Source organism: Homo sapiens, chromosome 13 (assembly GCF_000001405.40).
Source record: "Homo sapiens chromosome 13, GRCh38.p14 Primary Assembly".
Taxonomy (NCBI): Eukaryota; Metazoa; Chordata; class Mammalia; order Primates; family Hominidae; genus Homo; species Homo sapiens.
Window position 1 is genome coordinate 52,409,513 of NC_000013.11, and position 25,002 is coordinate 52,434,514.

Here is a 25,002-nt window from a genome sequence, read left to right on the forward strand (position 1 = left end):
CACGTGCCTGTGGTCCCAGCTACTTGGGAGGCTGAGGCAGGAGGATCACTTGAACCCAGGTGGAGGCTTCAGTGAGCCAAGATGATGCCACTGCACAGGCTGGGTAAGACCCCGTCTCAAAAAATAAAATAAATAAAAAATTAGCCAGGTGTGGTGGCATGTACCTGTTGTCCCAGCTACTCTGGAGGCTGAGGTGGGAGAATTACTTGAGCCCGAGAGGTTGGGGCTACAGAGAACAGTGATCACGCCACTGCACTCCAGCCTACATGACAGAGTGAGACCAACCAATCTTGTCAAATAGTTACTTCTAGCAATACTAATTAAATCCATCCAAAGTTTCAAAGAAGACTTTAAGGTGATCATCCAATTTCACTGCCAGTAGAATTATCTAGTCTAATTTCCATTCACCAATTTACACTAGGATTCTTTTTCAAATACATACCACCCACTCCCTGGCATTTCAGTTTTAAAAGCAAAAGCTCAGTGGAAAGAGCAGGCATTGGAGTTACAAAAGTACAAAAATTATCTGGTGTGGTGGTGTGCACCTGTAGTTCCAGCCATCAGGAGGCTGAGGCGGGAGGACTGCTTGAGCCCAGAAGGCAGAGGTTGCAGTGAGCCGAGATTGTGCCACTGCGCTCCAGCCTGGGCAATAGAACCAGACCCTGTCTGAAAAAAAAAAAAAATTATATGGGGGTATAAGGAACCCAGAACAGGATAAAACAATCTTGAAAATGAAGAGCGTATTTGGAGGACTCACACTTTCCAATTTCAGAACTTACTACAGGCTGGTTCATGCCTGTAATCCCAGCACTTTGGGAAGCCAAGGCAGACGGATCACTTGAGGTCAGGAGTTTGAGACCAGCCTGACCAACAGCGAAACCCCATCTCTACTAAAAAAAAAAAAAAAAAAAAAAAATTAGCTGGGGATGGTGGCACACACCTGTAGTCCCAGCTACTCAGGAGGCTGAGGCAGGAGAATTGCTTGAACCCGGGAGGCGGAGGTTGCAGTGAGCCGAGAATGTGCCACTGCACTCCAGCCTGGGTGACAGAGTGAGAGTCGGTCTCAAAAAAAAAAGTAACTTACTACAAAGCAGTAGTAATCAAGACAGTGTGATATTAGCAAAAAGATAGATAAATAGCTAGAAATGCAAGTTCAGAAACTCATATCTATGGTCAATTGAGTTTTTAAAAATTACTTTTTAAAACAAAAAACCCCATATGCAAGCATATGGTCAATTGTTTTTTGACAAGTGTGCCAAGACCATTTAATGGTCAACTAATGGTGCTGGCATAACCAAATAGCCACATGCAAAAGAATGAAGTTGGACCTCCTCCTTACACTGCATACAAGTAAAAAGATACACTTTTAGATAAGCCTAGATTAAATTCCAGCCCTGACACTGCAAATCTGGGTAGATTTCTTAATCCCTCCTTCCCTTCACTGTAGAAAGCATATAATAGTTATTGTGAAATATTATAGTGATTAAGTGAAACATATCGGAGGCAGCTTTCTCTGCATTAATCTTTCAGGCACATACTTTTTCCCCAAAAAGCTACTCTTCAAGGGAGGAAATCCAGGTACAAGTGGCTCTATCAATATGCTTGGTCATTTTTTAAATAACAGCTTTATTGAACTGATTGGTCAATTTTGTCTCCATTAGAATTCTTGCCAAACTGTACTGCTGTCTTTATTGGACAGTTAAGATACAGTTTAACGTTTTCAGGCCGGGCGCGGTGGCTCACGCCTGTAATCCCAGCACTTTGGGAGGCTGAGGCGGGCGGATCACGAGGTCAGGAGATCGAGACCAACCTGGCTAACATGGTGAAACCCCGTCTCTACTAAAAAAAAAAAAAAAGATATAGTTTAACGTTTTCTAAAAGAAGGCAATATAAAAATCAAAGGAAAAAATGCTTTCAAACAAACAGTGGTATGGTCAGTATTGAACTATAACTGTTCTGGCTCTCAAAATACCTTCAGTTTTCTTTCTGGGTCAGTGACTGATCTAGTAATCTTGTGCAAATTGTATAAAATTTATACATTATCTCAATAACTCCGTTTATACAAATGGAGAGAGCTTTTATGTCTCTGGGTAATGCTCTGAGATGAAAGCTATAACTGACTCATGATTTCGTATCAGGACACAAGGAAGAAGACGAATGGCTCAATTTCCACACTGTAATAACAAGAACTTACATGTGTATAACAACTACTCTGGAGTGCTTTCCACATCATGGACATGGCCCATGCCATATTTGAGTAAGACAGAGCAGATCTCACTCAGACAGGCTAAGCCTTGACAAGTCTGGTTGAGAAACCTCTTGGGAAGAGGGTAAAAGACAGAGTTGGTCTGCTAGGCAACTCGTGCATGACTCAGTACTATAATTCAAAAATCACTCAATTCAGTTAATACTTTACTAGGAATCTACCATGTAGTCACTGACCTAGGTCAGTGAGAATTCAAAAGAAATGTTACACGACAGTCTTTGAACTTAAACCCAGTTTCTCTATTTTCTTATGGTATCAAGACAACATTTAAGAGAACAAGACAAAATATAGTTAAGCATATGGAAAAGACAGTAACTCTTGTAGAGTTTAGAAATAATAGAGCTGTGTATTGGAAACATTTCTGATGCAGGCAGGATTGAGCAAAGTATAATTTAGATTGGTGGGGGTGGGCGTGGGAGAGGGGAGGTGAGTGGGAAGAAGTAAAGAAAGGTTTGGACAGACAAGGGAAATATCCAGGAGCAGGAAGGGGCACACCTCTGCTGTTCCCTTTTCCCAACACCTTCCACTTACTGACAATCTCTTGGTCTTTGTGAGCCTAGTTTACCAGGTTCTTCCTTTCCCTTCCAAAGCCCTCCACCAGGACTAAGGGCTCCTTTTTCTGTCTTCCCCAGCATGGTACATATGCCCCTTCCATGGCACATATGCCCCTTCCATGGCACTTACTTCATTCCATCTTCAGTGAAAGTTGCTTACATGTCTGTTTCCCCAACTAGGTTTCCCTTTTCTTAAGGACACAGCTGTATCTTATTCATCTTTGTATCCCCTCCCACTACCAGTGCCCAACAAAACTGCTCACACAAAATTGCTATGTGTTCAAAAAAATGTTTTTTTTATTGAATTGAATGGGAGCTAAAGTAGGATAAAGTGGAGCCAAATTATAAATAGGAATATAGGTAGGAGTTCATTCATTCAGTAAATATTTATTGAATGCTTATTGTGTCCAGGCCCTGTTCTCAGCTCTTAGAATACATCCATGAACAAACCAGATAAAAACTTCTGCCCTTGCGCAGCTTATACTCTAGATCGTAAGGGATGGGATTAGCAATAAATTTACATAAATTCAACCATACCTACTGGAAAAAGACACATGCATGGAAATTATTAATGCTATAAGAATCTCTTGATATGCAGTTTGTATTTTTGTACTTAATATAAGCATAATATATTCATACCTACATATCACTCCACAGGGATTTAAACTTTAAGACTACAAAGAGAAATTTATTGGTAATTTAGGAGATTTTCAAGGACCATTCTGAGCATGCTCAATTTTGTCCTTAGGCACGGTCTTTAAAACCTAACCACCTTACAAGTTGTGACTCCACTGTACCAAAATGAAGACTCTGAGACTTTTGGGCAAAAGAACCATTTTAAGTATTTGAGTATGAGAAAGATGACAGGATGAATCCACATTCTCTCAGATTAATCTGGTAACAAGGAACAAGAAAGAGTACATTCATCTGAATATACATGGTCAGGTAACAGTGGAATTCACATCAAGAATTTTTTAAAAAAAGAAACCAGTTCATGACATGTCCCATTGTTTTAAGACAACTAAAACAGTAAGAGCTCAATGTCATAAGTATTTATAAGCAACTCTTAATTATAAAATCCAAAGGAAAAATTCTTAACATAACTGGCTTTAGTATGATTAAAGGTTTCTCATTTGCATATATGTTTCAGAGTATTTAAAAAGAATGCCAAGAAAAATCATTTTTAAATTTTGCAATAATTTTACTCTATATACATTGATACCAATCATTTAACCCTGAAAACACAGTCTTCACTAACACAATGTAAAAAAATTTTTTGACAGTAAATGACCAGAAATATTGCATTACCATAAAGCTACAAAGAGGCTCATGCTCCTAAGAGCAAAGTTAGGAAAACAAAAAAATAATAATTATACCAGTGATAAGCACCAAGACAGAACTTTTTTGCACTTAGGGCCTGATTGGTTGTATTTAAACATAACTTCTACATTAGAGGGCCAAAATAACACCTTATAATAATGGCCTGAAAAAAAAAGATAAAAATACACAAATACATACAAAGGTCTCGAAACAGTGAAGAATGCCCACTTTAAAAATAAAATCAATCATACTCATTTTTAAATTAATGTGACATTTGCAAAATATATTTATATATCACTTTTCTTCCTTCTTAAGTTATTTTATACAATTCAGATTGCTCCATTTTTTTTCATCAGTTGTCACACTAAAGTAAACAAATATGTTAAATTATGTAGGTTTGCAGTAATGAATCCAAACCATTAGCGCTAGATTGAGTAGCTCCAGCAATCTTCCTTGCAACTCACTCCAGCTGGTGAAACAGATTATTTATCTTCATAATTTTAAAAGCCTTAGCCAGGTGAGAGAGAGAGAGAGTGTGTGTGTGTGTACAAGTTTGCCAGAGCAGTGTGAGACAGTAAGTACCAACCAGAAAGAGGTGAGACATACAAACAAGCTTACACAATGGTCCAACTAACCCCTAAAAGACTTGGGCAGTCAGACACTGAGTTACCCTCAAAATAAACCTGAGGCTGAGCAATGGGGGAACCAGAGGATCTGTCACCACAATGAAGAGTCAGTGACAGGTTTGGAAAACAAAAACTAAAGTGGGATGTCTCAGGCACAGCATTCCTGTGACACTGGAGGATACGAAGCAGCAATAGCCACTTTTCAGGCAGAGATAAGGGATTGGGATCCCCTGGGTCTGCAGCTGAGGGTCCCTGGCACTTCCCAGAGGGCACTGCAGCAGCCTCTGGCAGTGGCCCTCCACCTTACCCACTGACAATGTCTTAGGGGTCCCAGAGTGTGAACCTGGGCATCCCTCTTCCTGGTCCCAAGGGTGCTCCCAATACAATACTTTCCCTCCCGCAGGCTTGGCCAAAACCATCACCACCCTTTCACTTCCAACTCAGTTTCAGAAAGGGTGTCTCCTGTCCTGTGGGGTCCCTGAGTTTGAGATAATGCGAACATACTGGAGGCTGTAGCAATAACATGTGAAGTCAGGCAGTCACTTTAAAACCTAAGCAATCTACATGCAGTATTAGCCAGTTGTTGTTATCTCAGTAACATTTCTTACCGAAGTAGTTTTTCCACACAACTTACAACATAAAGGACAAAGAAAAAATATTGCTGGAATATGATAGACTTTTTAAAGTTCAGTGTTGAAACTCCTTATGGAAAAGAAAAGGAGATATTACTTTTCCACTTTCTATTTCCTGTCTGTGGCTTTGAGGTAAAAGAACACTAAGGTTCCTGTGAAGTTCCCTCTGCCATTCCACCAGCACAACAATCCCAGGGAATTCCTGAGCCGTCTACCTCCTAAATTTGTAATCATAACTCTGGGCATGTCTATACAGCTCTCTAGTTCAGTTTCAAAATCCACAGCATTTGGAAACAAAATGACACAGTTGCATTCTTTAAATGCCAGTCATGAAATCATCACTTAAAAAAACAAAGAGAAACTAGATAGAATATATATAAATATATGTGTCAAATAAAATTATTTCATTTTTAAAGGTATTTTATTTGGTATGTTGAAGACATGTCTATGACTGCTTCTAAAAGCCCTGGGGAGGAGCCTCATATAGCATGCTGCAGTATATTTTGTCCCAACATTGTCATGTGCAATCAGTGAATTTCAGTTACACCAAAATAATAATCTAACCTGTCTGAACATGCAACTTCTCTTTTTATTCTCTGCAAAACTAAATTCCCTTCTTTATAAAATGATTAGATTTGAGGATCAAGTTAAAATCCACTATATTCCAAGTTAAACTCTGAGGGTTCTGCACTATAGCATGATTTTAAATTCATATTGGCATTCACTTTTCTGAATTTTCCTATGCGTATACTAAATAAATTTCCTGGACCATATTTAGTGAGAAATTAAAAGAGATTTACATTGCACTGTGAAGTTCCAATAAATTCTCAATTGATCGGGGTTTATCTCTTAGCTCAATGTCATACAACCTCTACATGACGCAAGCATATGGACAAAAAGGATTTTAAATACAAAACCCTTAGCTCTGTGTCATAAATAAATTTGGGTAAAAACGCAGGCCTTCCACTGAGTCATCACGGCAAAGATGGCCCATCTTCTCTGCAAGCAGCAACCTAAAAAAAAACAACAAAAAAACCCCCACACAATTATCTGTTCATGCAGACACACAAACATACATTGTAATGAAAGGTAAGAACCTTACTTACCTTTCTTTGGCTAGGAGGACAGACATTCCCACAAGCTTAGCAAACTCTTCTGATGTTAGGGATCCCTTTTCTGAAACCTAATAGAAACACACAGCAGAAAAAAAATGTAATTAATTTAGGACACTAATTTAAACACACTCTGGGTTCTAATGGTAGGCAGAATGTATACCAGTATATGCAAGAAATAATTTACTGAATGTCCTACTAAAATCCAAAGAACATTCACACTATAACTAAATTTTAACTAATGCTTAATCCTACAAAAGTTGAAGTACCCAGAAGAGACATAGTAGAGGCTCAAATATCAAGATCAAGCTCTCTATAATGTAACAGTCACTGTACTAAAGCCTAAAAAGAACTATTTGATATTCTGAAAAGGAATATGTAACAAATTCTGAGTACATATTAACGCTCCAGCGAAGGGACTTTACATATGGGTTTAGTTTAAAATATGTGGTAGAAATATCTGTAGTCTTGGGGTTTTCATCTAGTTGAAAATGAGAAGGATAATAAATATAAGTTATTCAAATTATACAGGCTCACCATAGAAGCTATGAAGACAGTACTATTTCAAGCATCCTAATGAGTAATATTGGCAGTTTGGCCAGTAAAATCCATCTAAACTACAGTTGCTTTTTATATTTTTTGAAGCAATTATTTTCATAAAACTTGTGGCGTTTTATCAAGCTGCTTATGTAGGTGTTACTGGAAGACAAAGTTTAATTGTGTTGTAACATCTGATAAAGTTAAAAACCTGTTCTCAATACTGAGCTTTAATAGAAAAGAAAGCACCTCACTCACTAATTCTAATTCTCCTTACATGTAAGATGTTAAGAGTGTCAAGAAGTTTCAAAAAGCTCTTAATGTATGACTTTGGTTAATATTGATTCATTGTTAGTGATAAACCATTTTTATTTGGGTGTGTGAATGTTACTTTTTCAGTAAAGTTAAATTCAAAAGGAAATCCTGTTTTTTGAGTTGCTAAGCCTTCGGGTCTTCATAGCAAGCTCTAAAGACTGGAGAAAATCGGCTTCACATACTGTCTCCAGGGCCGAGGCCACCATTTCCTCTTCCTTGTGAGACTGAAGCTCAATTACCATGACGCCACTGTCAAACACACGGAGCCTGAAAACCACAGGTGCGAGAACAAAGCCAGGAATTATCTAGGATATTCAACTGCTGAAAAGGAGGACATCTTTTATACCTTCTTTTATGCCCAGATATGAGGGCAATATTAAACAAAACAACATTTAAAACATATCAAACCCAAGCAACAATGGCATAAACAGCTCATGAATACACAGATAATAAAATTATGAACTAAAATCTACATGCTAAATAAAATTACTGGCTTTTTTTTTAGAAGGAATTTCGCTCTTGCTGCCCAGGCTGGAGTGCAAATGGCATGATCTTGGCTCACCGCAACCTCCGCCTCCCGGGTTCAAGCGATTCTCCTGCCTCAGCCTCCCCAGTAGCTGGGATTACAGGCATGTGCCACCACACCTGGCTAATTTTGTATTTTTAGGAGAGACGGGGTTTCTCCATGTTGGTCAGGTTGGTCTCGAACTCCCGACCTCAGGTGATCTGCCCGCCTCAGCCTCCCAAAGTGCTGGGATTACAGGTGTGAGCCACCACGCCCAGCCACCTGGCTACTTTTTTAAACCTAAGAATAAGGAAAATAATATTCACAGCTGAACATCTCCAGAGACTAACACAAAATGTCTAAGGGAAGAGGGGCTAGTTATTCTGATCTCATGGGAAGAACCCACATTCTTATTTCATTCCCCCAAATCCACAAGAGTCTGACTCCTAGCCCTGTTAGGACATGCCCAGCCCTGATAAACATGAAATAATATAATTTCAAGAGAAATAATCTGGCTTGACACTAGGGATGGCAAACTTGGCTGGGCTTTCCCATCTACCCCATGCAGAATCATGGTTGCAGGTGGCAAACTTCCTGCAGAGGTTCCTTTACCTGAGAGGTAATTTCAGTGCTTCCAGCATCTTGCACGCATTCACTAAATCTTCTGGTGAGAGCAACTAATAGGGAAAAAAAATCCAGTAATGCTATACAATGGTAATGATCACTAAAACAGAAGAGTATATTTTAAAATTACCATTTATCAATAATTTTAGGTGATTTAATCACTACAAAGCAAAAAAGATTGACAAAGGAACCAAAGACTTCTATTCCTTAAAGCAGTGGTACCCAATAAAATATGCATGCCACATATGTCACTGCAAATTTTATAGTAGCCACATTAAAAAAATAAAAAGAGGCCATGCACAGTGGCTCACACCTGTAATCCTAGCACTTTGGGAGGCTGAGGCAGGTGAATTACAAGGTCAGTAATTCGAGACCGGCCTGGCCAACATGGTGAAACCCCGTCTCTACTAAAAATATAAAAATTAGCCGGGCGCGGTGGCGGGTGCCTGTAATCCCAGCTACTCGAGAGGCTAAGGCAGGTGAATTGCTTGAACCCAGGAGGCGGAGTTTGCAGTTAGCCGAGATCGCACCATGCATTCTAGCCTGGGCGATAGTGCGAGACTCCATCTCAAAAAAAAAAAAAAAAAAAAAAAAAGTAAAAAAGTAAAAAGAAACATGAAATTAATTTTAATGCATATATTTTAAGATTGAACATAGAACCAATTCAACATATAATCAATACAAAAAATTATTAATGAGATATTTAACATTTCCTTATTTTGTACGAAGTCTTCTGAATCTGGTGCATTTTTATACTTGCAGCATATCTTGATTTGGATTAACTACATTTCAAGTCCCCAGTCAGCACATGATGTGGCTATCCTTGTGGACAGTGCAGCCTTAACAAATCAGCATAGTGTGGTGATGACAAGCACAGCTTTCAGTCCCACAGGATGGCTCCAGAGCCAGTCCAGCCCAGATCCAAATACCTGTCAAACCACTGTCTCTGGCTGTGGCCTTGCTCAAGTTATTTCATCTTTCTAAGTTTCAATTTCCTATTCTTCAAATTATCCCCTACACTAAAAGTAGCCATGTCACTGAGTTATTGGGAGGATAAATGAGGTAACACATGCAGAGTGTCCAGTGGATGGTAAGTACTGACTAATGGCAGCTATGATCAGCATTCAGATAAAAACACAGAGCAGGGGCTTAATTCATGGGACTGGGTGAGCCATTTGCATGGAGGTGACTGCTGGGGCACAAAGAATACCTAGACAGAACCTTGGAGGCTAAGGACATCTGGATGTGAAGGAGGAAGAACAGCTGAAGAATAGCCACTGCTGATACCCAGCCAAAGGGGCAGGGCAGCTTTCCCTCTGCATTATCTACAAGGCAACTTGTTCCAACCGAGTTGATTCAAAAGAGTTAACTATTGCAGAGGAAGGGCTTCCTGAACAACTTTATTTATCACAATACAGAGAGAAAATATTAGAGCTGAACAGTTTCATTCAGTCCAAGCCCTTATATTAAAGGTAAGAAAACTAGCTCCCTAAATGCTGGCAAGGATGTGGGGAAAGGGGAACTCTTACACATTGTTGGTGGGAAGGTAAATTAGTACAGCCACTATGAAAAACAGTATGGCGATTTCTCAAAAAACTGTAAATAGAACTATCACATGATCCAGCAATCCCACTGCTGGGTATATATCCAAAAGAAAGGAAAGGAGTGTATCAAAGAGAAATCTGCACTCCCATGGTTATTGCAGCACTATTCACAACAGTCAACATCATTTGCAACAACATGGATAGAACTGGAAGACATTGTTTAGTGAAGTAAGCTGGCACAGAAAGACAAATATCACATGTTCTCACTCATTATGTGGGAGTTAAAAAAATTGATTTCATGCAGATAGAGAGTAGAAAAATGGTCACTAGAGGGTGGGAAGAGTAGTGGGGAAGGAGGGATAAAGAGAGGTTGGTTTAATGGGTACAAAAACACAATTAGAAGGAATAAGAGGCCAGATGCAGTGGCCCATGCCTGTAATCCCAGCACTTTGGGAGGCCAAGGGGGGTGGATCACCTGAAGGCAGGAGTTCAAGACCAGCCTGGCCAACATGGAGAAACCCCGTCTCTACTAAAAATACAAAAATTAGCCAGGCGTGGTAGCCGTCGCCTGTAATTCCCAGTTACTTGGGAGGCTGAGGCAGGAGAATTGCTTGAACCAGGGAGGTGGAGGTTGCAGTGAGCCGAGGTTGTGCCACTGCACTCCAGCCTGGGTGACAAAAGTTAAGACTGTCTCAAAAAAAAAAAGGGGGGGAATAAGATATAGCATTCAGTAGTACAATAGGGAAACCATAGTTAACAATAATTTATTGTATATTTCTTTTTTTTAAATTTATTTATTTTTTGAGATGCAGTCTTGCTCTGTTGCCCAGGCTGGAGTGCAGTGGCGTGATCTCGGCTCACTGCAATCTCCACCTCCCTACTTTAAGCGATTCTCCTGCCTCAGCCTCCCAAGTAGCTGGGATTACAGGTGCCTGCCACCACGCCCGGCTAATTGTTGTATTTTTAGTAGAGATGGGGTTTCGCCATGTTGGCCAGGGTGGTCTCGAACTTCTGACTTCAGGCGATCTGCCTGCCTCAGCCTCCCAAAGTGCTGGGATTACAGGCATGAGCCAGCGCACCCGGCCCTATTGTATATTTCAAAGTAACTACAAAAGTGGAATTGGAATGTTCCTAACACAAAGGAATGATAAACACTGGAGGTGACAGACCCCCAATTTCCCTGATTTGGTCATTACACATTATATGCTTGTATCAAAATTTCACATGTACCCCATAAATACGTACAACTATTATGTATCCATAAAAAAGAAAAAATAAAAATTTGGGGGCCGGGCATGGCGGCTCATGCCTGTAATCCCAGCACTTTGTTTGGGAGGCCAAGGTGGGTAGATCACCTTAGGTCAGGAGTTCAAGACCAGTTTGGCCAACATGGGGAAACCCCGATTCTACTAAAAGTATGAAAATTCTCCTGGTGTGGTGGCACACGGCTGTAATCCCAGCTACTTGAGAAGCTGAAGCACAAGAATTGCTTGAACCCGGGAGGCAGAGGTTTCAGTGAGCCAAGGTTGTGCCACTGCACTCTACAGAGTGATACTCTGTCTCAAAAATACAAAACAAAACAAAAATTTTAAAGGTTAAAAAAAATGTGGTACATATATACAATGAAATACTATTCAGCACAAAACAGAATAAAATCCTTTCATTTGCAGCAACATGGATGAACCTGGAGGATATTATGTTAAGTGAAATAAGCCAGACATAGCAAGACAAACACCACTTGATCTCACTTACATGTAGAATCTTAAAAAAGTTGATCTCATAGAAGTAGAGAGTAGAAGAGTGGCTACCAGAGGCTGGGGAGGGTAGGTGGGAGGAGGGGATGGAGAGAGGTTGGTCAGCAGATACAAAGTTACAGTTAAGACAGGAAGCATGAGTTCTGCTGCTATATTACACAGGGTGACTAGATAATGGCAATGCAGTGTATTCTTTTTTTTTTTTCTGTTTCTGAGTAGGTTTTTTTTTTTTTTTTTTGAGATGGAGTTTTGCTCTGTCGCCTAGGCTAGAGTGCAATGGCGCAATCTCGGCTCACTGCAACCTCCACCTTCCTGGTTTAAGCAATTCCCCTGCCTCAACCTCCTGAGTAGCTGGGATTACAGGCACACACCACCAAACCCAGATAATTTTTTTGTATTTTTAGTAGAGATAGGGTTTCACCATGTTGGCCAGACTGGTCTCGAACTCCTGACCTCAGGTATTCTGCCCGCCTCAGCCTCCCAAAGTGCTGGGATTACAGGTGTGAGCTACCGTGCCCAGCCCTGAGTACTTTTTATTGATACATAATATCTTACATATTTATGGGGTACAGGGGCTATTTTTATTAATACACATGCATAAAATGTGTAATGATCAAGTCAGGGTTATTTGGGGGTACCTATTACCTGATGTATTTATCATGTCTATGTTTTAGGAACATTTCAAGTCCTCCCTTCTAGCTACTTTGAAATATACAATACATTGTTGCCTCCCTACTCTGCTATTGAACATTCGAATTTATTCCATCTAACAGTATGTTTGTACCTATTAACCAACATTTCTTCTTCCCCGCTCCCACTTATACACCTTTCCCAGTCTCTGATATCTATCATCTATTCTCTACCTCCATGAGATTAGCTTTTTTAGCTCGCACATGAGTGAGAACATGCAATATTTGTCTTTCTGTGTCTGGCTTACTTCACTTAACATAAGGACTTCCAGTTTCTCCATGTTGCTGCAAATGATGTGATTTCATTTTTTTTATGACTGAATTGTATTCCATTTGTATGTATCTGACATTTTCTTTATCCGTTCATCACTGATGGACACTTAGGTTGATTCTATCTTTGCTTTTTTAAAAAATGTTTATTTTAGTTAGGGGGTATATGTGAAAGTTTGCTACACAGATAAACTCGTGTCACTAGGGTTTGCTGTACAGATTATTTCATTGCCTAGGTATCAATATTAAGCCTAGTACCCAATAGTTATCTGTTTTGCTCCTCTCCCTCCCCCTAGTCTCTACCCTTAAGTACATTCCAGTGTTTGTTGTTCCTTCTTTGTGTTCATAAGTTCCCATCATTTAGCTCCCACTTATCAGTGAGAATATGGGTATTTGGCTTTCGTTGCTGCACTAGTTTGTTAAGGATAATAGCTTCCAGCTCCATCCATGTTCCCACAAAAGAATTATCTTGCTCTTTTTTATGGCTGCATATAACAGACAAGAGAGGATTTTTAATGTTATTACCAGAAAGAAATGATAAATGTTTAAAGTGATGAATATCTTAATTGCCCTGTGATATGGTTTGGCTCTGTGTCCCCACCCAAATCTCATCTTGTAGCTCCCATAGTTCCCACATATTTTCGAGGGACCTGGTGGGAGATGATTGAATTATGGGGGCGGGTCTTTCCTGTGCTGTTCTGGTGATAGCGAATGTTTCTGATGAGATCTGATGGTTTTAAAAATAGGAGTTGCCTGCCCAAGCTCCCTTTGACTGCCACCATCCACGTAAGATGTGACTTGCTCCTCCTTGCCTTCCGCCATGATTGTGAGACCTCCCCAGCCATGTGGAACTGTGAGTCCAATTAAATCTTTCTTTTGTAAATTGCCCAGTCTCAGGTATGTCTTTATCAGCAGCGTGAAAATGGACTAATACACCCTGATTTGATCATTATGCAGTGTTTACATGCACTGAAACACCATATAGTACCCCATGAATATGTACAATTATTGTGTCAATTATAAAGAAAAATAGAAAAAGTTTTGAATAGCAAAAAATAAAAATAAAGAAAAGAGGAAGAAGGAAAACTGAGTCTCAGAGATGCTAAGTAAGCTACTGAAGGTCACTAAGCAAATCACTATCAAAACCAGGAAAAGAATCTACCTCCTAGATCCCAGGACAGTATTCTTTCACTGTACCACAGTGCTTCTCAAAATAGCTTTGATATTCACAACCCTTCCTCAAATTGTATTCGGAATTTGTATTAAGAAAATCTACATTTGGTTAAAAGAGTATTTAAATTTTCTATCCTTACTTCCATTCCTCGAGCTCGGTTTACTAAGCAGTACACCTCCGTGAGTGACATTATTCCCCCTCGTTCCTGTTCAAATATGAAATTTTTAAAAAAGTATTATGTTACAATTACACCAGTTAGCATTTCTTAACAGAAATCATAATCACAGTGAAATCAGAAATCAGAAAAATTTTTAAGAAGCTTATAAAAAACTTTATTTATACAAAGGAGAACCTATTCAGATACCACAAGGCAGTTTAGATTCAATACTTGCATTTTAATGTCATTACCACTTTATTTTTATTTTTATTTTTATTTTTTTTGAGATGGAGTTTCTCTCTGTCACCCAGGCCAGAGTGCAGTGGTACAATCTCAGCTCACTGCAACCTCCACCTCCCGGGTTCAAGCAATTCTCCTGCCTCAGCCTCCTGAGTAGCTGGCACTACAGGCATGCACCACCACACCCAGCTAATTTTTTTGTATTTTTAGTAGGGACAGGGTTTCACCATGTTGGTTGGGCTGGTCTCGAACTTCTGACCTCAAATGATCTGCTCACCTTAGTCTCCCAAAGTGCTGGGATTACAGGCGTGAGCCACTGTGCCTGGCCTCATTACCATTTTAACATTTACTTAAATGAAAAAAGGGGCTCTACACCATGTTTCAAAAAATACATTTAAATGTTTTAACTTATTACAGCTAATAAATGAAGAAAGTATAGAATTAAATAAGACTATTACCATTTTGCAACCTCCAGTGAAATAACAGATCTAGGTAATGACTGTCAATGGCTGTTAACATCACAAAAAATTTTTTAAAAATTAAAAAAAGACAATCAGACATTATGTATCTCTTGATGGAAGTACACAACAGCCTCTATGAAATAGTCCTGCAATAATAATTTAAAAAAACCCTAACAAACCTTTATTATAAATACCAGTTTATAGGAAATACATAGGACCAGAAAAGCACACCCTATAGTCTAAACAACTAATTTCTTCAGGAAACACACGGTGGGGTGGGAGGTAAGAGGCAGGAGAAGAAAGAACCCATGAAATTAAAAACAAACAAACAAACAAACTTTTGAAACAAACCAACAAACTGCAATGAATCCTGATTGAAACAGACCAACTGTAAGAGAAAATGTGAATACTAGGCCGGCACGGTGGCTCACACCTGTAATCCCAGCACTTTGGGAGGCCAAGGCAGGGGGATCAGCTGAGGTCAGGAGTTCGAGACTAGCCTGGCCAACATGGTGAAACTCTGTCTTTACTGAAAATACAAAACAATTAGCTGGGCGTGGTGGTGGGCGCCTGTAATCCCAGCTACTCAGGAGGCTGAGGCAGGAGAATCGCTTGAACCCGGGAGGTAGAGGTTGCAGTGAGCTGAGATTGCGCCACTGCACTCCAGACTGGGCGACAATAGTGAGACTCTGTTTCAAGAAAAAAAAAAAGAAAATGTAGCACTTTGGGAGGCCGAGGCGGGCGGATCATGAGGTCAGGAGATTGAGACTACGGTGAAACCCCATCTCTACTAAAAATACAAAAAATTAGCCGGGCGCAGTGGGGTGGCAGGCACCTGTAGTCCAAGCTACTCTGGAGGCTGAGGCAGGAGAATGGTGTGAACCTGGGAGGCGGAGCTTGCAGTGAGCTGAGATTGCACCACTGCACTCCAGCCTGGGTGACAGAGCGAGACTCCGCCTCAAAAAAAAAAAAAAAAAAGAAAATGTGAACACTAGATATTAGATAACATTAAGAAAGTATTTTAATTTTTTAGATTATGAAAGGGGATTATAGTTGTATTTAAAGGAGTATTTATCATTAGAGTTACATAATGAAATGTTTACAGATAAAGTGATGTGATGTCTGGGATTTGCTTTAAAATAATTTTGAGTGGAGGTTGGTTTACAGGAGAAGCTGGATGATGGCCACAGAGGATTCATTATACTATTCTATTTGGCATAGGTTTGAAATCTTTTTTAATACAAGTGCTTTAATAAACTCTTGACTGCCTGAATACTATCAGACTAGAAGATGAATCTATATTATGGAATGATTAATAGTACTAAATAGTAAAGACTAGATGTATGGAAATATATCTATTCAGAGAAAGATCATATATTTCCTTTTTAAAAATAAGGAAAACTTCATATCAAATAGATTTAGAAAGTTATAGATGTCAAAAATGAAAATTAAAAACAACTTAGAAAATTACAAAGAATAATAAGCACAATGAACTTATTTAATATACCTGAAAGAAAAAAAAAACATGTCAGTTGACAATAACCATATCATGAAAATAGTTATGCTCTTGTTAACATTTCTAATGACATAGGGCTAATTTAACACAGTTTAAAAAAAAACACATAGGTTTAGTTTTTACCTCTAAAGGCACCTGCAATATTCCAGCCAGTTGTTTGGCCAGCTGCATGTGGTACTGTGTGCCTGAGCCGTAGGTTTCTCTGGTAACTGGGTTAGCTATTCCCATGCTCAGCAAGTAGGATTTAAACCTGATGGTCTATAATAAAAAAGGAGAAAATGCAGAATTAGTCTCTCCACCTCAATATTTGAAATTCTTCCATCACAAATTCAATTCCACTCAATTATGTCTACATATCCCCATTCCTTCTACTGTGTTTCTATGCTGTGAACTATAAGGGAGCAGATTTCCAGGAGTTCCCTGCATACATCTAATTATTCTCCTTCCTACTTCTCTCCTGGTCTCTCATATTCTGTTTACTTCATAAGTTTGATGTGAAAGGAGATTCAGAAAATGCCTCTGCTATATTTAATGCCAACCAAATAGTACAACTGAAAAGAAAATGGCTGTGATTAGACTGTAGACAAACTGAATGAAACAAACATCAAACTTAGGGATATGTATAAAACAGCCACTCCTTGTACATTTCAGTATTTCTGTTTTCTACACTCCAAAAAAAGGCATTGAAATAGCCTTTAATCCTAATAGAACTAATATAATTTTTACGGTTGACTTTTCTTTGGCACTTTCACATATCCTCAAGTCCTAAAAGAAATAAAACAGGCTGGGCGTGGTGGTTCATGCCTGTAATCCGAGGCAGGCGGATCACGAGGTCAGGAGATCGAGACCATCCTGACTAACACGGTGAAACCCGGTCTCTACTAAAAATACAAAAAATTAGCCGGGCGTGGTGGCACGTGCCTGTAGTCCCAGCTACTCGGGACGCTGAGGCAGGAGAATCGCTTGAACCCGGGAGGCGGATGTTGCAGTGAGCCGAGATCGTGCCACTGCACTCCAGCCTGGGCGACGGAGCGACACTCCGTCTCATAAATAAATAAACAATAAATAAAACATAAATAATAAATAAAACAGTACATTCAGAAAGCCAATGTAAACCACAAAAACCTTACTGCATTGTGTTATCTAGTTTCAAATGCCTTAAAAAAAGCAACTTATTTACCTCATCTTCTGTGATGTCACCTTGTTTGTCTTTAATTTTATTAGCAATTGATTTTGATAATTCCACCATTTCCTTAGCCTGTCAAATAAAAAGTAAAGACTGAAAAGCACTATTGTCCCCAAAATGTCTGCTAACAAAATATATTTCAAAAACTGTATCATAATTGGTATGAATTTAATAGGCATAAATGACATATACCTTGATCATTAGTTTGCTGAGGTCTTCAAAGGCCTGAAATGAGAAATGAATTTTGGTTGAAATCCATCTAAAGAATTAAAATGACTTAAAAAAATGAAGCACCCTCTATTTTTTCCCCATAAAAATTTGAAATTTTCAGCCGGGCGCAGTGGCTCACGCCTATAATCCCAGCACTCTGGGAGGCCGAGGCAGGCAGATCACGAGGTCAGGAGATCGAGACCATCCTGGCTAACACGGTGAAACCCCGTCTCTACTAAAAATACAAAAAAAATTAGCCGGGCGTGGTGGCGGGCGCCTGTAGTCCCAGCTACTCAGGAGGCTGAGGCAGGAGAATGGCGTTAACCCAGGAGGCGGAGCTTGCGGTGAGCCGAGATCGCGCCACTGCGCTCCAGCCTGGGCGACAAAGCAAGATTCTGTCTCAAAAAAAAAAAAAAAATTTAAATTTTCTTGCAAATATCAATTTGTTAATAACTATTTATATAAATAATAAATCTACCTTATTCTAAAATTTCATTTTAGCTAAAAAACCATACATTTTCCAAACAAACTGCAAAAGAACTTCACATTTTCAAAGAAAATAATTATTATTGATTAAATAAGCAAAAGGTGATATAAACAGTAGTTCAGAAAATATTATTTACTGTTATTTGAGAAAAGTAAGAAATTCTGTCACTGTCACTGGTTTTTTCTAAAATCATTTTCTAATAGGAAGTCTCTAAGAATCAAAAGCACTACAAAGCTTTCCTGGTTGAAAATGGCAATACACAGCTGCAGGAATAGTTCTCTGGGCACAATAATTTTGGCTTTAAACAGGTATTACTTAACTGAAACAGTAAGTTTAGCAAGTAAGATAATCAGTTTAAGTAAGATAATCAGCCTCTGATTATCATACTCATTATGCTTGTAGATATGGTGGCTATCACAAAAGAAAAACATTCAAATACCATCTAAATGTATCTACATAGAATCAACTGTTTAATTTGCTACAGCAAAAAACTACTTCAAAGGCCTCTTTGAATTTAAATATATTTATAATAAATTATTTCAAGTTACTGAAAATATACTCCCAGTGCAGAATCTTATCTAATTGATGCATACAGATGTTATTTTTTAAAACCAGTTAAGCAGCTTGTCATTAACTGAAATATCAGTCCATATGGTGGTCTGAAACATATAATAGTGGCTCTGATCAGCTTATGCCCATCTGCAGGAAAGCATCCCCCATCTGCAAAAGGATTTTGCTAAAAGAATAGTGTGTTGCGTATTCTTATGGCCAACTCACTAAGGTTAATAACTGAAAACAAAGGGGAATGTGCACACACCTAACAGGAATTTCCTTAGATAAACAAAAGGCTTAAACACTGGATTCTTATCAGCTAGAGCCAGCAGATGCAGGAAACCCTTTGTGAGAAACTCTGGGCGCCAGCTCTGAAACTAAGTCAATTCTAACATTTAAATAGAGGGCAAATCACACACCAACCTAGTTTTCAAAAATAAAACACACATTTTGCACACTTAGGTTTTTACTTTTAATATATAAGATATTAATAGATTTTTTTATCTGTGTAAAGAAAACTGGTAAAGATAACACTTTTAAATTGTATATGGTAAATCACTGTATTTATTATATTATGTTGCTGTAGAAAAAATAAGCTGAGAGTCCACAAAGAATATGTAAATAAGTCCTGTAAACTTATACATAGGCAATAAAAAAAGTAAATATTTTTGTGCCTTAGAAGAAATGTCTATAAATATTTTAAGTGATTATAAAACACAGAGAAAAGCTTCCTCACTTTTATTTTTATAATTATTATAAAATTTGGAATTAGTCAACTATCAAAAAATGAGTAAAGAAACTACCTACAATAAAAATTAAAGCAAAAGAGATGCACATATCCATTCTATAATTGCATCTGCCAGTTTATGGAACCTTGTATCCCTCTACCACACCTATAGTCAAATTTCCACTCCAATTTTGAGAAAAACAGCACCTGTTTTAAAACCAGGAGTACCCCCTTAAGCTGACTTACAGCATGATTTCTTACTTACTTTTAGTTATCACTTTGGCTATTAGCATCAGTAACTCAGTATATTCTTGATTTTCCACTTCAGTACTCTTGAATGTGCCTTGCATATTCCATTCCCTTTTCCTGGGTTCTTCTTATCCATGCTGGTCATCTGCTAGAGCCTATTCATCTTTCAGCCTTTGACTTCCATATTCCTGCTGCTAGCAAGCCCTCCGTGACCTCAACAGAAGTTAGGGATCATGTTATACACCCCTGCTGCAGCCTATATCTTCTCCTTGCAAGGTGTTTCTCCCACCGTGGATAATGCCTCTTTGCCTGCCTGTGTCTGTGCATCACCACAGTATCCACAGCCTCTGATACAAGGCCTGGCACAAAGTAGGGAGGAATATCTGCTGAATAAATTAATGATCTGCATGGTTAATGACCTGCTGAATAAATTAATGGTCCGTATGGTGAGCACAATGCTTATGTAGAATCCTTTGAACTATGTGACTCCAAAAAAATTAGACTGAAACAAAATAACTTACTTTATAAATTAAGAAAAACATTATTTTCAACATAACATTGAGTTAGTATGGCAGTATCAGAAAGAAAAATACAAGTAGCAATGCCAGGATCTAGGCAGGAGAAAGAAAAGAAAAGCAACAATGTAACCACAGACCTGAGAATGCAAGAGCCCCAAGAGAGCCAATAGGGATTCACCAGAAAGGAAGGCAGGCCAATTAGAGAACAGTGCCTAAAATGGGGAGGATGGTGCCTTCTTCAATTACGGGAGGGTCCACTATTAACCTTTTATTTCAAAATAATATCTAACATCTAAAAGATGTTAAGAAGATGATACAAGCTATGAAGGGTCAATATAAATCAGAAATAGGTGACAGGACTCAGGAAAGAATTAAAAATAAAAGAAAAAAATCATTTCAGAAATAAAGTCTACACTAGACATTAGTGAATAAACACAACAGATGAAACCTTCAAAGAGGTGAAAAAGAGGAAAACTTTCTAAATAAAAAAGAAATGAGGAAAGAAATGAAAAGCATTAGAGTCACAAATTGTGAAGAAAGGCAGTGAAACTGCAACATACAGCTAATAGGAGTCCCAGAAGAAAAAAAATCAAAGCAATTATTGAAAATTACAGGCTGGGCACAGTGACTCACGCCTGTAATCCCAGCACTTTGGGAGGCTGAGGCGACCGGATCACGAGGTCAGGAGTTCGAGACCAGCCTTGCCAATATGGTGAAACCCCATCTCTACTAAAAATATAAAAAATTAGCTGGGTGTGGTGGCACGCACCTGTAGTCCCAGCTACTTGGGAGGCTGAGGCAGGAGAATTGCTTGAACCCGGGAGGCAGAGGTTGCAGTGAGCCAAGATTGCGCCACTGCACTCCAGCGTGGGCAACAGAGCAAGACTCCATCTCAAAAAAAAAAAAAGTAAGTTATAATGCAGAAAAATTTCCCTGAAATTAAAAAATTCCTGAAACTATATACTGAAAAAGCACAGCACGCACCTAAGAATAACAACTCAGAATGACTAATACACAGACACATTCTAGTAAAATTACTGGGCTTTAAAGTAAAATTTAAAAATCCTTTGCCCATCTAGGAAAAACAGCAAGTGTCTTTTAAGGGGAAAAAATAAAATTATCATCACTCTTTGATAGCAACACTTCATGCCAGACCAAAAAAAAAAGAAAGAAAGTAATATAATGAAGGCACTCAAAGAAAGAAAATGTGAGCTGAGGATTTTAAATCCAAGAAAACTGACCTTCATGTATAAGGAAGACAAACATGGCAGATACAGGGAATATTGTTCCTATGATCATTTCCTTAAAAATCTACTACAGAATGAGGCTTCAGACAACCAAAGCGACCACAGAGAGCTCAGCATAAGGACTAGTGGTACTAAACATGGAGGTACTTATAAAACTAAGAGTCAATGAGAGCTGGAGCTGAGGCAGAGAGTGTATGTAGTGGCTGTATGCTCAGACAGCGTAAACACAGTGCACCTATTTTTCAAATGTACAAAGAATGGGGAAAACACATAAAATTTTTTTTCAACTGCTTTAGTAATTATCTGGTAGTGTCATCTTAAATTTGAATAGAAAAGATAAGTACGCTCTTGTTAGGCACTTTATATTAACAACAACAAAATTCTAGCTCTGTCCATTGAAAAAGCCTAGAAACAAAGATCAACCCAATACTGATGAATATTACTAGCAGGCAGATTGTGGTTCTGAAATATCATTTCCCACTAAAAGAAACCAGAGCGGTCTGGGCGCGGTGGCTCATGCCTGTAATCCTAGCACTTTGGGAGGCCGAGGCAGGCGGTTCACGAGGTCAGGAGTTCGAGAGCAGCCTGACCAACATGGTGAAACCCCGTCTCTACTAAAAATACAAAAATTAGCTGGGCACAGTGGTGCGCGCCTGTAATCCCAGCTACTCGGGAGGCTAAGGCAGGAGAATCGCTTGAATCCGGGAAGCAGAGGTTGCAGTGAGCCAAAATAGCGGCACTGCACTCCAGCCTAAGCGACAGAGTAAGACTCTGTCTCAAAAAAAAAAAAAAAAAAAAGAAAGAAAGAAACCAGAGTTTCTCAGATAAATGGTTGATTCCGGATCTGAGGCAGGAAATGTACAAGATGGTCCTGGAGCTTTTGCAACACCAGATAGTGAAGAAGCTAGCAAAGTTCACCTAGTCACAACAAAAGCACTTAGAGGGCCAACTTGAAGCAGCTCCCACTGGCCAAAGATGGGACAATTTGAGCTTCAAATAGGATAATAATTATAACTGATTGAAATCCATCAAATATGCTAAACTCCATGAATTCATAATGACATGTTAAAAAAAACCTAATTAGTTGGCTGGGCGCGGTGGCACATGCCTGTAATCCCATCACTTTGAGAGGCCGCGGCGGCGGATCACGAGGTCAGAAGATTAAGACCATCCTGTCTAACATGGTGAAACCCCGTCTCTACTAAAAATACAAAAAATTAGCCAGGTTTGGTGGCGGGCGCCTATAGGCCCAGCTACTCGGGAGGCTGAGGCAGGAGAATGGCGTGAACCTGGGAGGCAGAGCTTGCAGTGAGCCAGGATCGAGCCACTGCACTCCAGCCTGGGCGACAGAGCAAGACTCTGTCTCAAAAAACAAAACAAAACAAAACAAAAAAACAAACAAACCTAATTAGTCATCGTCAAAAGATAATAAGGAAACAATTTATTACCCTGATGATAAAGGAAAATGCAATTATCCTGCCTTTCCTATATGAACTGGACAACCAAATAGTAGATAAGGGAAACATTTCTTTAAAAAGTATTCCAACTAATAAATGAAAAATAAACACAGAATTATCACTATTTACCACCACCAATGAACTAATAGATCTAGGCACTGAATATTAACAGCTGCTAACATGACAGAGATAAGATGTGCCTCTGACGAAAGAACACAGCATCACCTCTAGTTTTGCCAAACGGACAGAACATGAGTGTGACAGAGATTCTGGATCCAGCTGCCAATTTGGGGAAAATACAGGGTTGAGGAAAATATACAACTTCACCACAGATACATATCCAGAAAAACCTACTATGGGCACTTAATAGGTCAAATGCCCTTGGTTCCCCAACAGTAATCTATATTTTCAATTAGTGAGCCCAAAATAAGTATTTAAATAACTATTTGTAGTTTTAGACTTTACTTGATTGACATAAATCTTTGAAATTCTCTGAAAAGCAACCATCAACAGAATTTTACTTATGAATTACTATAAAAACCAAAGATTTACTTTAAAGCATCATTTCATAAAAAACCAAGACCATTTTTATATAAACATGGAAAAACCAGTGATATGTTTAGCTGTATTAACTAATTACAGAATCTAATGCATAACTGGTCTTTTTAGCTAGAGTTCTTTCCCCTTCTCTTGAATTTCCTCATATATCATGAAGCCTCAGAAACACTGGAATGTACATGCTCAGGGTTGTCCCCCAGTAGAAGTGATGGGCTGCTTTGAGCCGTTCTTACTGATGTCTGGTCTGATCCCTGGGTGGTCATCAACATAAAATGGTGTGGTATCTGGCCACAGACTGGCCACAGAATAGCATTTTTCTCTCAACTAAGTTACTTCAACTTCCAAAATAATTATACAGAGAACCCTGAACTCATTAGGAGTATCCGCCAATCAATTTCATCTAGACTGTAAAATCTACACACAACATTTTATGATGTTTTCTAACAGCAAACAAATTTGCATTTCTTTTTTATTCCTTTTAGAAAAAGGTTTTGGTTAGATTTTGCCAGCCCGAGGTAGACCTGTTAAAGAGAATAGGAGACTATGTAGCTTCAGGCAAATGAAATATATTCTAAATTACAGAAGGGAATTAGGCACAGCTGTATCTAAAAGAATAGACACAAATGGCTGGAATAGATGGAGAGCCAGAATTTAACAGTTACCTCAGAAATGTTTTTGTCAGTTTCTTTTCTTTTTTCTTCCAGTTTCCTTTCAATACCTACAATTCCTACAGCCCTTATTCTTCCTGGCTGAAAAAAAAAAGAGGTAGAAAATAAAACATACAAAATAGGAAGGAAACAAAATCTTTTGTAACCAACCACATTGTGTTTTCAATGGCGGGAAAGGACCTACAAAGAACCAAAGAAAAACAGCATACACGGACATTTAGCTTCCCTTCAAAACATGTGTTTGTTTCTTGCTGTACATAATGATCTTAAAATCATTCAGGAAAAACCAAATATACAATAAATGGCATATTTTACTCTGCATTTTAGAGATAAGTTAAATTTCCTATCATTTTCCTTCTTTGGCAAGCTATTACGTATCAGATACTTAATAGGGTCTCAAATGTACAAAAAAAATCACAGTTTAAATTTTGGTTCTTAATTAAGTTATTATTCAAGCTACTTTCATACATTTGAGTACCTGTCTAGTGTTGGTGATTAATTTAGACAGGCCTGGAAAACATTACCCAGCTGTACTGTCTATTCTCTCAAATGTCACACTGATTATGAAGAACAGAATGCAGTGAGTGAACCCTACCTTCTATCACCCTAAGAATTACGCTGGTAAGCAGTCATTTATGTTTACTAAGCGTCTGCTGTATAGACAGCACTAAATTAGGTGCTGTGAAAATAATTTTTTTTTTCTTTTTTTGAGACGGAGTCTTGCTCTGTCGCCCAGGCTGAAGTGCAATGGTGCAATCTTGGCTCACAGCAACCTCCGCCTCCTGGGTTCAGGTGACTCTCCTGCCTCAGCCTTCTGAGCAGCTGGGATTACAGGCGTGCACCAACC

At 38.8% G+C, this 25,002-nt stretch overlaps 1 protein-coding gene across 3 annotated transcripts in view; it reads right to left on the reverse strand.

The window, feature by feature from the left end:
• VPS36 (vacuolar protein sorting 36 homolog) overlaps positions 3,094-25,002 on the reverse strand; it is a 38,029-nt gene continuing 16,120 nt past the window's right edge. For all 3 annotated transcript variants that reach the window (NM_001282168.2, NM_016075.4, NM_001282169.2), the window contains exons 6-14: positions 24,150-24,236; positions 17,675-17,707; positions 17,477-17,554; positions 16,420-16,554; positions 14,062-14,127; positions 8,480-8,544; positions 7,545-7,629; positions 6,505-6,581; positions 3,094-6,411 (exon numbers count right to left, since the gene is read on the reverse strand). In NM_001282168.2, the coding sequence (NP_001269097.1) occupies positions 6,318-6,411; positions 6,505-6,581; positions 7,545-7,629; positions 8,480-8,544; positions 14,062-14,127; positions 16,420-16,554; positions 17,477-17,554; positions 17,675-17,707; positions 24,150-24,236 (720 nt within the window). In that variant the 3' untranslated portion in view covers positions 3,094-6,317. The remainder of the gene's footprint in view (positions 6,412-6,504; positions 6,582-7,544; positions 7,630-8,479; positions 8,545-14,061; positions 14,128-16,419; positions 16,555-17,476; positions 17,555-17,674; positions 17,708-24,149; positions 24,237-25,002) is intronic.